Source organism: Homo sapiens, chromosome X, assembly GCF_000001405.40.
Source record: "Homo sapiens chromosome X, GRCh38.p14 Primary Assembly".
Classification (NCBI taxonomy): domain Eukaryota; kingdom Metazoa; phylum Chordata; class Mammalia; order Primates; family Hominidae; genus Homo; species Homo sapiens.
The window spans coordinates 6,528,817-6,538,451 of NC_000023.11; the positions used below are offsets into that span (position 1 = coordinate 6,528,817).

Here is a 9,635-nt window from a genome sequence, read left to right on the forward strand (position 1 = left end):
TGTCCAGAGCCCCTTCCCCCAAAGCCCTTCAACTAGTTATTCTCTAGCAGAACATTTTTCTGCCAGTAAAAATATTTTCTTTCAGGAATTGGCTAAAAGCTGTTTTCATAAAAACTTCCCTATATGAATCGAGCCTATAATTATCTGGCTCTTTCTTAGGATTTCTGCAGAGCGTATGCACACCTAAAGCGTACCAATTCACACTTGGTTCCGGGGTCTATAGTAGAGTCACAGAAACATGACTCCTGTCATGAATGCAAGCTAGGATGTGGTCCCTAAAGCAGGGGATGTGTCTCGAATGCCTCTTCAATCCTTGTACAGTGTCTAATGCAGTACTACTTCCACAGTGTTGAGCAGCAGTCCTTAAGAGGGTGGAGTTTAGAATTTGGTCTTTGCAGACCTGAGTTTTAATCCTGGCTCTATAACCTATAAGCAGTATAAGAAAGGTACCCAAACTGTCTGTCTCATTTGTCCAGTGGGGACACTACCCATTTTACAGGGTGTGATGGTTAATTTCAGGTGTCAACGTGACTGCCTTAAGGAATACGTCAGGAATTAGTAAAGCATTGTTTCTAGGTGAGCCTGCACAGGTATTCTTGGGAAGATTGGCGTGAGCTGGTGGACAGAGTGGGGAAGATGTCTTCAATAGAGACAGGCCCCATCCAATTCTCTGAGGGCCCAGATAGAAGAAACAGGGCAAAGGAAAGGCACTTTCCTCCCTTTCTCTCTTGGAGCTGGGATTCTTCTTTTCCTGCCCTTGAACACCAGAACTTCAGGCTCCTTTTATACTGAGAATTACACCATCCACTTCCCTAGTTCTGAGGTTTTTGGTTGTGACCTGAGTCACGCTCCTGGCATCCCAGGGGCTCCAGCTTGCAGACAGCCTGTCCTGAGACTTTTCACCCTCTAATTCCCCTAATAAATCCCCTCTCATCTATCTTTGCTGATAACCTGTTGGTGGTGTCTCTCTAGAGCCCCGATTAATCCACAGGGGTAACGTGAGGGAGAAATGAGGTCGTGCTTGGGGAGCATTTCACACCCTGCCTGACACATGCCCAGGTCCGATAGGCTGCAGCTGCATTTATTCTAGAGCTTAGCATCAGTGTTCAAAACAGTGGAAGGCCTTCCCTCTGGCACCCAGCCATCGTGTTGAGCTTCTCCTGTCATTTTTCAATTCCAGAGTGTTTTTTGAGAGCAATTCTGTGTCCTGTGTATCACTGACGTGGGGCCAAAAACAATCCGTATGCGTGGGGATCTGAAGCTGGGAATGACCAATAGGTCAGAAAGTTCTTAGGAGTCAGGAGCAAAGGAAGCTGCATGGTCAAGGGGAATCAACATGAGCCTTCCTGCCATGTGCCGTATTTCCTGCGGTCTAATGAGACAGAGACATATGTATGTATACATCATCTCATGCTTAGCTCTTTAATATGTACAAGGTGTTTTCAAATTCTCCCACAAACTGTCTTTGACAGCTGAGAATCTCAAGATCACCTGTTGTTCATGACTGTTGTCAAGGGGATCCTCCCTTTAGGGACACAGGAAGATTTGCCTATAATGCTAGGAAGCTTTGATATCTATTATTTTATTATAAAAATCAACTACAGTTTTACTGCTATTACTTCAGGTCTTTACTCATTCCACTGTTTATTTTAACCCCGAGCTTGTGTGTAGTTGGAAAAGGAGGGAAAATATTTAAAACTCTTATTTATTAATTTAACTATGTATATAACATGTAGAATAAAGAAAGACTTAAAGGAAGATGTAGTATTTGTGAATGCTCCAACAAATTAAAAGATTATTTAAAATATTGATTTCTGATTAAACCACTTATTGTCTATAATGAATTAAAACAGTTTGTGAAAATAAATTCACTGATATTTTTGCATTTATAATTTCAAAATCATAGCAACTTTCTGAAGCTGAAAATGCCTGAAACACGAGTCTGCCAATCACCACAATAAAATATGAAGCCCCAGTGAAAGAGCTAGTCAGGATGGGTTCCCAACAAATAGCAGTTGAAGCTCCTACTGCCATGAAATGATGAAAGAAACACAGTTTAAGTGCCATGGATAATTTTTTCAATGCCAAAAGAATCATCACAGACTGTTGTGACATGCAGAGCTTGAATGGAAATATGGCATTAAAATAAGGTGCACAAAATTAGTTCTTGAATGTAATTTTGAAACACATTGCAAAATTGCTCCCTAATATACACCAAACCCAAAAGTGACCACTGACAAGATGAGTTTATTTCAGTTTTTATGCTGTCATTATGGAAAAAACTATAGCAGGAAGTTCACCAATTTCCCTTTGGAAAGATATATACAACCACAGCCAATAGGCTTTCCTAAAAGACAGCAGGAGCTTTTCATGCAGACTTGTTTCCCATCCGTAACATACAAATATTTATCGTTCAGGGTCAATACAGCCTTGCAAATAAACAGGCTTTGAGTTATACCAAGCATGCTCATTCTTATATGGTATTTCCATATAAGAAATACAAAAGAAACATACCACAAAATGATGGTGCTCAGGACATGGGGCAAGGCCCTGTTTCTGTGGTATAGCGTCCTAGGTTTCGTAGGATTCCATAGGAGGCAGCTACAAGATCAACATGCAAAGCTCTGAAATCCCTTCCTAAGCTAATGAAGTGAAGCCATGACTGCACCAAGGAAAGGATGAAACAGAACTCATTTGTTGTTTCTCAAATGATGCTACCGTCTCTTCAAAGACACCATTAATTTAACATCTTTAAAGCTCTAAGAACAATCTATGTAACAAGTGAAAACTGCCTATAAAATTACTGCTTTCCTTATTATATGGAAATTCATGTTTTCATAATCACATAAAAGTTTAACGTGCTATTCATTATAAGATTAAAGGGCATGAGTTATTCTGTCCCTGTAATTAGTAACAACTGGAAATTAAATTGGGAGAATTTTGTACTCTTTTCTTCTTAAAATAATTTCCTTTCTCCTTTTGCCTGAGAACCATGCTTGAACAATACTAACGCCTTACCTTCTAAAATAAATGATTATATATAACATATAAATATAAATATGTTTTACATAAGTATTTATACATAAAATATATATTTACATATAAATGTTTTATGTGTATTTATACATATATATTTACATATAAATATGTTTTATATATGTATTTATACGTAAAATATATATTTATATATAAATATATATAATCTACACAAAAACATAAAAATACATATATTAATATATAAATATGTATACTAGGTTCTAGTATATATAGAAAAGACCTATGTATTTCTAACATGTGTATATATAATCTATATCTATATATTTATATTTGTATATTATATAAATATATAATCTATATTTCTATATTTGTATTTACATTTTTATATATAAATATATATAATCTATATAGGTTTGTATATAGTAAATATAGTTGCATATTATATTTTATTTACATATATTTGTATATACTAAATTCTACTATATATAGAAAAGACCTGTGTATTTCTAATGTATGGAAATATGAAATGTACTTTTTGTCTCTTCAGTTGCAAAAATAAAAAGGCTTTTATCAAGTAGATAGATTTTGCTCTATTTTGAATTTTTCTTCTTAATTATATTAGATTGTAGGGAGGGGACGCTGAAAGGAAAGAGATGGAAACGATTCTTCCATCAGTTTCTATAACCGGAAAGGTATTTTAACAATGAAACCTAAGTAGGTAGAATCCAGTTCTTGGTACTTGGTGTATGTGCTAGCAAGATTGCATGAAGAAACAAACCGTGTAAGAAGCGGAGTCATCCTGTGAAGGGGAAATTTGTCTCCAGTGTTCAGCCATGACGCAATCCTTATCCTCCTGTCTGGCTAACTGTGACCTGTCCCTGTGACCTCAACCCCACGGGACCCCACTTCCCTCCCTCCCCACACACCACCTATTCCTTCCTTCTTTCCTTTCTCCCTCCCCACACACCTCCTCTTCCTCCCTCCCTCCCTCCCCACACACCTCTTCCTCCCTCCCTCCCCACACACCACCTCTTCCTCCCTCCCTCCCTCCCCACACACCTCTTCCTCCCTCCCTCCCTCCCCACACACCACCTCTTCCTCCCTCCCTCCCTCCCCACACACCTCTTCCTCCCTCCCTCCTCACACACCACCTCTTCCTCCCTCCCTCCCTCCCCACACACCTCTTCCTCCCTCCCTCCTCACACACCACCTCTTCCTCCCTCCCTCCCTCCCCACACACCACCTCTTCCTCCCTCCCTCCCTCCCCACACACCTCTTCCTCCCTCCCTCCCTCCCCACACACCACCTCTTCCTCCCTCCCTCCCTCCCCACACACCTCTTCCTCCCTCCCTCCCTCCCCACACACCTCCTCTTCCTCCCTCCCTCCCTCCCCACACACCACCTCTTCCTCCCTCCCTCCCTCCCCACACACCTCTTCCTCCCTCCCTCCCTCCCCACACACCTCTTCCTCCCTCCCTCCCTCCCCACACACCACCTCTTCCTCCCTCCCTCCTCACACACCACCTCTTCCTCCCTCCCTCCCTCCCCACACACCACCTCTTCCTCCCTCCCTCCCCACACACCTCCTCTTCCTCCCTCCCTCCCTCCCCACACACCACCTCTTCCTCCCTCCCTCCCTCCCCACACACCTCTTCCTCCCTCCCTCCCTCCCCACACACCACCTCTTCCTCCCTCCCTCCCTCCCCACACACCACCTCTTCCTCCCTCCCTCCCTCCCCACACACCACCTCTTCCCCCCTCCCTCCCTCCCTCCCCACCATCAGAGAACACAGAGTCACTCAGATCAATTTGCAACACATTCATTTTATTATCTTCAGAATGGCAAGCACCCCGCTGGTGAGATCTCTGAGGTCTGGCGGCTGGGCCTGAACTTAGTCGCTGCTCTCGGAGATAGGGGAGTAGCTGGCCGTCTACACACTCGGTAGTTCTTCCATCTCGCTCTCCTGACTCAGTGGTTCCTCCACCTGGCTCTCCTGACTCAGTGGTTCCTCCACCTCGCTCTCCTGACTCAGTGGTTCCTCCACCTGGCTCTCCTGACTCAGTGGTTCTTCCACCTCGCTCTCCTGACTCAGTGGTTCCTCCACCTGGCTCTCCTGACTCAGTGGTTCTTCCACCTCGCTCTCCTGACTCAGTGGTTCCTCCAGCTCGCTCTCCTGACTCAGGGGGTCGTGCTGGGTCCCCTCGCTCACTGGCTCCTCCGGCGGCAGCTCGTGCTGAGGGAGCTCCTGGCTGGGCTGGTCGCTGGGGCCGGGTGCCGCTGGCCCGCTCTCCGCCTCAGGTGCCGTCACGGCCGCCATCTTTGTCGCAGCCCCTTTCTTCCCGCGTCTCCCTCTACGAACTGCTTTTCCCTTCTTGGCCACCTTGGTAGTCTGGAAGGACAACAGGGAGATCACAGAAGGGCTCTGGTTTAGGGACGAGGATGGAGGAGGCTGGGAACAGGGACGTGTCCTCAGAAGCGGTGGGGGCCGGGTTGGGGGGTTCTGCCAAGTGACGACAGGAGAGGCTTCTTGTGAGGAAGGAGGCGAGGGGAAGACGAGGAGGAGCTTGGGAGGGTCACTCACCTTCTTCTTCGGGTCACTGGGGCTCGGCTGAGAGGAGGACTTCCTCTTTCCTGCCTCCGTGGCCTTGGCCGGAGGTCCCGAGGCTCTCGGCTTTGGACTCATCTTCCGCAGCTCAACGTCTCGCAACGGTCGACTAACTCCAGGCTGCCTGGCCTCCCTGTATATACCCCTCTCGCGATCCCAGGACGAGACAATCACGCCCCTGAGCTGTGATTGGTCAACACTCCACTACCCAGCCAATGGTAGCCCTGGGTGGGAAGGAAGGCCTTATACGTCACAACGCACCATCAGGACATGGCGGATGAAGTCGGGGGCGGGGGGGGGTGACATCTAATGAGGAAGGCAGGGTGCTCTAATTGGAGAAAGGGAGATTTGGGTTAGCACCCCTAAAGATAGTTCCCAAACTGACATGTCACCCCTCCTAAACTCCCCGTGTTCAATTTTGGCAGATCACGTGGCACGGGAGGATATTTCCCCCACATGTTTCCCCCGGACCTCCCATTCAGTGGTACATTCTGTTCCTCCACACCTGCCATCATTACCCAGTTTCTGTATGACCTACCTAAAATCCCTCCATGCTAACTGGGATGGATGGAGGGCTATACGAAGACGTCAATCATCCCTCTCTCCTACAGATTCCTCTGCTACACCTTGAGGATCATTCACTTCTTGGATGCCATGAAACAACTTTTCCATCTCACATACTTCTCCCAGCATCCACATAGTGCCTCACAATTTTTCATTCTCATGGTTTAAAGCACTGGCTTCCAGAGGTCAAGATCAGCAAACACACTCGCTCAGCTGGGTATCTGTATCAGGCTGGGTTCCTCAGAGAAGGAGAAACTGAACCAACAGGATACTTTTTGTGTGTGTGTGTGTGAGTGTGTAATATATATGATAAATATGTATTTACTATCATGTAGTATTGATTTATGAATAATATTATATATATGATACAGTTTATTCTAAGCAATTGGCTCACACATTCACACAATGTGGGGGGGTCTAGGAAGCTGAAATATGTAGGGCAAGTGGGCAGCCTGGAAACTAAAAGCTTCTGCACAGTCAACAATCAACAAAATGAAAAGGCAGGCTATGGTTTGGGAGAAACTATTTGCGAACCATATATCTAATAATGAGTTAATATCCAAAATATATAAAGAACTCACACAACTCAATAGCAAATAAATAAATAGTCTGGTTAACAAATAGGCAAAGGACTTGAATAGGCATTTCTCGAAAGAAAACACACAACTGGCCAACAGGTATATGAAAATGTGCTCAACATCGTTAATAATCAGAGAATGCAAATGAAAACCACAATGAACTATCACCTCACACCTGTTAGGACGGCTATTATCAAAAAGTCGAGAGATAAAAGATAATGATGGCAAAGCTGTGGAGAGAGTGAAACCCTTTTAGGGTGTGCAGAAAACGGGACCTTTACACGCTGTTGACAGACGTGTAATTGGTACAGCCGTTAGGAAAAACAGTGTAATGGTTCCTTGGAAAATCAAAACAGATCTACCATGTGACCCAGCAGTTCATCTGTTGAGTAGGTACCCCACTCCCACAATGAAATCCACATCTTACACAGATATCTCCAGTACTAAGTGTAACTCATTAATCACACAGGAAATTAGAGTTTCTATTTGAAAAGAATGTTTTTTTTTTTTCACCATTCTGGTATCAAATATTTATTCTAGCCATCTCTTCTTATTTCTTACTTTGTAATAATCTAGGTACTACTACCCACTGACAGAACTGACTCATTATTCCAAAAAGAGATGAGAAATGTTGAGGAAAATGCAATGTTATGCTTCTTGTCTTCAACCAGTTATTCTGGTTTTATGGAGGATTCTGTATTTAACTCTTACTCAGATAACTCTAGTTACCATATCCATCGTACCTAGTCAACAATCCTAAAAAAATGAGAACACAGAGTTGACTAGAATCGTTACTAAACTTTCTATGTTAACCAGTTTTCCCAGTAATTGCTAGTTTTTTATTCAACTGTTTGCCTAGGTACCACTAAATGTCTAGTTTTATGTCACTAAGACATAAGAAGTAGTGTTGAAAAGAATTTGTTTATTTCAAGTACTGGCTTCATCTAGTTATCTCTAGTTAATTACTTACTTGGATAAAGTAGATATCTATTGTATGAGGTAATATTTCTAACATGAGGTTGGAATTTTGCGTTGAGGAAAATGGTTATTGAACTCCCTGGCATAGGCCAGTTATCTTCAGCTTCCTGGGATCAATTACTTGGTCTGGTTAATTCTAGCTATCTTTAGGTTGCTAATTAAATGTTTACCACCAGATGTCTGTGGTAATTTATTATCCCAACAAAACAGTAGAATGATAAGGAAGGATTTTGCTTTTTCCTGGCATCACATAGATATTCAAATTATCTCCTGTTATCCTTTGTACCTTTTTTCCTGGGTAACACTCAGCACCTATCCTTCTAAGTTCTTATCCCAACTAAAATCAATAATTGAGATTTGCAAAGAACATGAGTTTCAGGGTCAGGTTCACTTGGTATTGTAATGATTGTTAGCTGTTTCTATGTAACGTGTTTCATGGGAAAGCCCAGTTAAGTAGAATTTGTATATAACTCAACACCAATAAAATTATATTTGACGAGACTAGATTCCCTATGTTCTACATTCCACTGAACTATTCTTGTTGTCTCTATTTTACTATTTACGTAGGTACATGCCTTACGTGTAGTACTAATTCATTATTCCAACAATAACTCAGCAGTAAGTGGTGAGAAGAACGTGATTTTATTTTGAAATTTATTTTTATCGAGGTAAAATATACATATGTAACGTACCTTCCTTACCACCTGTAAGTGTGCAGTTCAGTGGTAATAAATACATTTATAGTCTTTTATTTACCCTTCATCCCCCCCTTCCCCTTCTGGCCTCTGGTAACCATCACTATAGTCACTATCTTCATGAGAACCACTTTTTTAGCTCCCATAAATGAGTGAAAATATGCAATATTTGTCTTTCTGTGCCTGGTTTATTTCATTTAACATAATGACATCCAGTTCCATCCATGTTGCTGCAAATGACAGGATGTCATTCTTCTTATGGCTGGATAATATTCCATTGTGTACATATACCATATTTTCTTTATCCATTTATCCATTGATGGGCACTTAGGCTAAATCCATATTTTGGCTATTGTGACTTATGCTGCAGTACACATGAGCATGCAGATATATCTCTTTGATGTACAGGTTTATTTATTTATTTATTTCTCTGTTTCTTTCCCTAGCAGTGGAATACTTGGATCATATAGTAGTTCTACTTTTAGGATTTTGAGGAACTCCATAATCTTCTCCATAGTGGCTGTAGTAATTTACATAATTTGAGGAACTGTGAGAATATTTTCCAAAGCCACCATACCATTTTGCATACCCACCAGCAGTGTATGAGCATTCTGATTTCTCCACATCCTCTCCATCTCTTGTTATTATCTGATTTTTTCCTCTAGCCATCTTTGTGGGTGTGAAGAGGTATCTCATTGTAGATGACAAATTATTCAGAGGTTAACACTCGTTTATGTGTTGAAGCATTTGGTCAAGGCTGAGTATTCATGAGGCCAGTGAAATAAATCCATCCAGTGAGAAAAGAGTGTTTGCAAACAGACAAGAAAACAAGATGTGTCCAGACATTCCCAACCACATTTCGAACTCTTCACCTTGGCCAAGTATCTCATAATGCATCGTTGTCTCACATAGCCTTATTGGAAGACAGCATGGATGATCCTTTGTAAACTTATTGACATTGTTATGATTCCAAGTTCATACGCCACCATGTTTGGTTAGCAGGAGCAATTCCATCCGGGAAAGAGAGAATATTTTGTTTGTTTTGCTTATGTTTTAACCATCTGTTGAGAGACAGAATTATCCTTCACCTCTTTGGCAGTGTCTAGTTGATGAAAAAATCCTCATAGTTCTGTTTTCTAAATTGAATTTGTGTTACAAAATGATTCAGACTGAGAATGAGAATTTTGGGAGTATCCAGGCAATTCAGCATTCCAATT

The 9,635-nt window shown here is 42.3% G+C and overlaps 1 protein-coding gene across 1 annotated transcript, besides 30 other annotated features; it reads right to left on the minus strand.

Moving 5' to 3' along the window:
* Positions 2,375-6,540: a meiotic recombination region, noted in NCBI's record as "meiotic double-strand break mapped by DNA meiotic recombinase 1 chromatin immunoprecipitation followed by single-stranded DNA enrichment and sequencing in the germ cells of some male individuals with PRDM9 A/A, PRDM9 A/B, and PRDM9 A/C genotypes". NCBI's record gives the evidence for it as "EXISTENCE:chromatin immunoprecipitation-seq evidence [ECO:0000229][PMID:25395542]".
* Positions 3,621-5,217: a non allelic homologous recombination region, noted in NCBI's record as "sub-region a, recombines with sub-region a' within the S232-VCX2 recombination region". NCBI's record gives the evidence for it as "EXISTENCE:nucleotide sequencing assay evidence [ECO:0000219][PMID:15888481]".
* Positions 3,907-3,919: a nucleotide motif, noted in NCBI's record as "nucleotide motif; similarity to the predicted 13-mer PRDM9 A binding motif (LD hotspot motif), CCNCCNTNNCCNC".
* Positions 3,949-4,968: a tandem repeat, noted in NCBI's record as "variable number tandem repeat (VNTR); RU2 (repeating unit 2) with a with a variable number of a tetranucleotide repeat (GGGA, TCCC on the complementary strand) within the repeat". NCBI's record gives the evidence for it as "EXISTENCE:nucleotide sequencing assay evidence [ECO:0000219][PMID:1549475]".
* Positions 3,981-3,993: a nucleotide motif, noted in NCBI's record as "nucleotide motif; similarity to the predicted 13-mer PRDM9 A binding motif (LD hotspot motif), CCNCCNTNNCCNC".
* Positions 4,007-4,019: a nucleotide motif, noted in NCBI's record as "nucleotide motif; similarity to the predicted 13-mer PRDM9 A binding motif (LD hotspot motif), CCNCCNTNNCCNC".
* Positions 4,040-4,052: a nucleotide motif, noted in NCBI's record as "nucleotide motif; similarity to the predicted 13-mer PRDM9 A binding motif (LD hotspot motif), CCNCCNTNNCCNC".
* Positions 4,070-4,082: a nucleotide motif, noted in NCBI's record as "nucleotide motif; similarity to the predicted 13-mer PRDM9 A binding motif (LD hotspot motif), CCNCCNTNNCCNC".
* Positions 4,103-4,115: a nucleotide motif, noted in NCBI's record as "nucleotide motif; similarity to the predicted 13-mer PRDM9 A binding motif (LD hotspot motif), CCNCCNTNNCCNC".
* Positions 4,162-4,174: a nucleotide motif, noted in NCBI's record as "nucleotide motif; similarity to the predicted 13-mer PRDM9 A binding motif (LD hotspot motif), CCNCCNTNNCCNC".
* Positions 4,221-4,233: a nucleotide motif, noted in NCBI's record as "nucleotide motif; similarity to the predicted 13-mer PRDM9 A binding motif (LD hotspot motif), CCNCCNTNNCCNC".
* Positions 4,254-4,266: a nucleotide motif, noted in NCBI's record as "nucleotide motif; similarity to the predicted 13-mer PRDM9 A binding motif (LD hotspot motif), CCNCCNTNNCCNC".
* Positions 4,284-4,296: a nucleotide motif, noted in NCBI's record as "nucleotide motif; similarity to the predicted 13-mer PRDM9 A binding motif (LD hotspot motif), CCNCCNTNNCCNC".
* Positions 4,317-4,329: a nucleotide motif, noted in NCBI's record as "nucleotide motif; similarity to the predicted 13-mer PRDM9 A binding motif (LD hotspot motif), CCNCCNTNNCCNC".
* Positions 4,347-4,359: a nucleotide motif, noted in NCBI's record as "nucleotide motif; similarity to the predicted 13-mer PRDM9 A binding motif (LD hotspot motif), CCNCCNTNNCCNC".
* Positions 4,380-4,392: a nucleotide motif, noted in NCBI's record as "nucleotide motif; similarity to the predicted 13-mer PRDM9 A binding motif (LD hotspot motif), CCNCCNTNNCCNC".
* Positions 4,413-4,425: a nucleotide motif, noted in NCBI's record as "nucleotide motif; similarity to the predicted 13-mer PRDM9 A binding motif (LD hotspot motif), CCNCCNTNNCCNC".
* Positions 4,443-4,455: a nucleotide motif, noted in NCBI's record as "nucleotide motif; similarity to the predicted 13-mer PRDM9 A binding motif (LD hotspot motif), CCNCCNTNNCCNC".
* Positions 4,473-4,485: a nucleotide motif, noted in NCBI's record as "nucleotide motif; similarity to the predicted 13-mer PRDM9 A binding motif (LD hotspot motif), CCNCCNTNNCCNC".
* Positions 4,535-4,547: a nucleotide motif, noted in NCBI's record as "nucleotide motif; similarity to the predicted 13-mer PRDM9 A binding motif (LD hotspot motif), CCNCCNTNNCCNC".
* Positions 4,564-4,576: a nucleotide motif, noted in NCBI's record as "nucleotide motif; similarity to the predicted 13-mer PRDM9 A binding motif (LD hotspot motif), CCNCCNTNNCCNC".
* Positions 4,597-4,609: a nucleotide motif, noted in NCBI's record as "nucleotide motif; similarity to the predicted 13-mer PRDM9 A binding motif (LD hotspot motif), CCNCCNTNNCCNC".
* Positions 4,630-4,642: a nucleotide motif, noted in NCBI's record as "nucleotide motif; similarity to the predicted 13-mer PRDM9 A binding motif (LD hotspot motif), CCNCCNTNNCCNC".
* Positions 4,660-4,672: a nucleotide motif, noted in NCBI's record as "nucleotide motif; similarity to the predicted 13-mer PRDM9 A binding motif (LD hotspot motif), CCNCCNTNNCCNC".
* Positions 4,693-4,705: a nucleotide motif, noted in NCBI's record as "nucleotide motif; similarity to the predicted 13-mer PRDM9 A binding motif (LD hotspot motif), CCNCCNTNNCCNC".
* Positions 4,726-4,738: a nucleotide motif, noted in NCBI's record as "nucleotide motif; similarity to the predicted 13-mer PRDM9 A binding motif (LD hotspot motif), CCNCCNTNNCCNC".
* Positions 4,763-4,775: a nucleotide motif, noted in NCBI's record as "nucleotide motif; similarity to the predicted 13-mer PRDM9 A binding motif (LD hotspot motif), CCNCCNTNNCCNC".
* Positions 4,802-6,302, minus strand: VCX3A (variable charge X-linked 3A). Its single transcript, NM_016379.4, has 3 exons — positions 6,142-6,302; positions 5,580-5,827; positions 4,802-5,387 (listed from the first exon to the last, which is right to left on the minus strand). Exons 2-3 carry the CDS (start codon positions 5,679-5,681, stop codon positions 4,929-4,931), a joined length of 561 nt encoding a protein of 186 aa, NP_057463.2. The 5' UTR covers positions 5,682-5,827; positions 6,142-6,302; the 3' UTR covers positions 4,802-4,928.
* Positions 4,943-5,180: a tandem repeat, noted in NCBI's record as "variable number tandem repeat (VNTR); RU1 (repeating unit 1) with a 30 nt motif, and 8 repeat units in the GRCh38 reference assembly". NCBI's record gives the evidence for it as "EXISTENCE:nucleotide sequencing assay evidence [ECO:0000219][PMID:1549475]".
* Positions 5,429-5,444: a nucleotide motif, noted in NCBI's record as "nucleotide motif; similarity, but not exact identity to the predicted 16-mer PRDM9 C-type binding motif, CCNCNNTNNNCNTNNC".
* Positions 5,633-5,648: a nucleotide motif, noted in NCBI's record as "nucleotide motif; similarity, but not exact identity to the predicted 16-mer PRDM9 C-type binding motif, CCNCNNTNNNCNTNNC".

What these genes read in the sequence shown, in the direction of transcription:
- VCX3A (NM_016379.4), bottom strand. Translation starts at nt 5,681, where the DNA reads ATGAGTCCAAAGCCGAGAGCCTCGGGACCTCCGGCCAAGGCCACGGAG. An exon ending in CCAGTGACCCGAAGAAGAAG is followed by an intron (nt 5,388 to 5,579) that starts GTGAGTGACCCT and finishes TTGTCCTTCCAG; the next exon opens with ACTACCAAGGTGGCCAAGAA.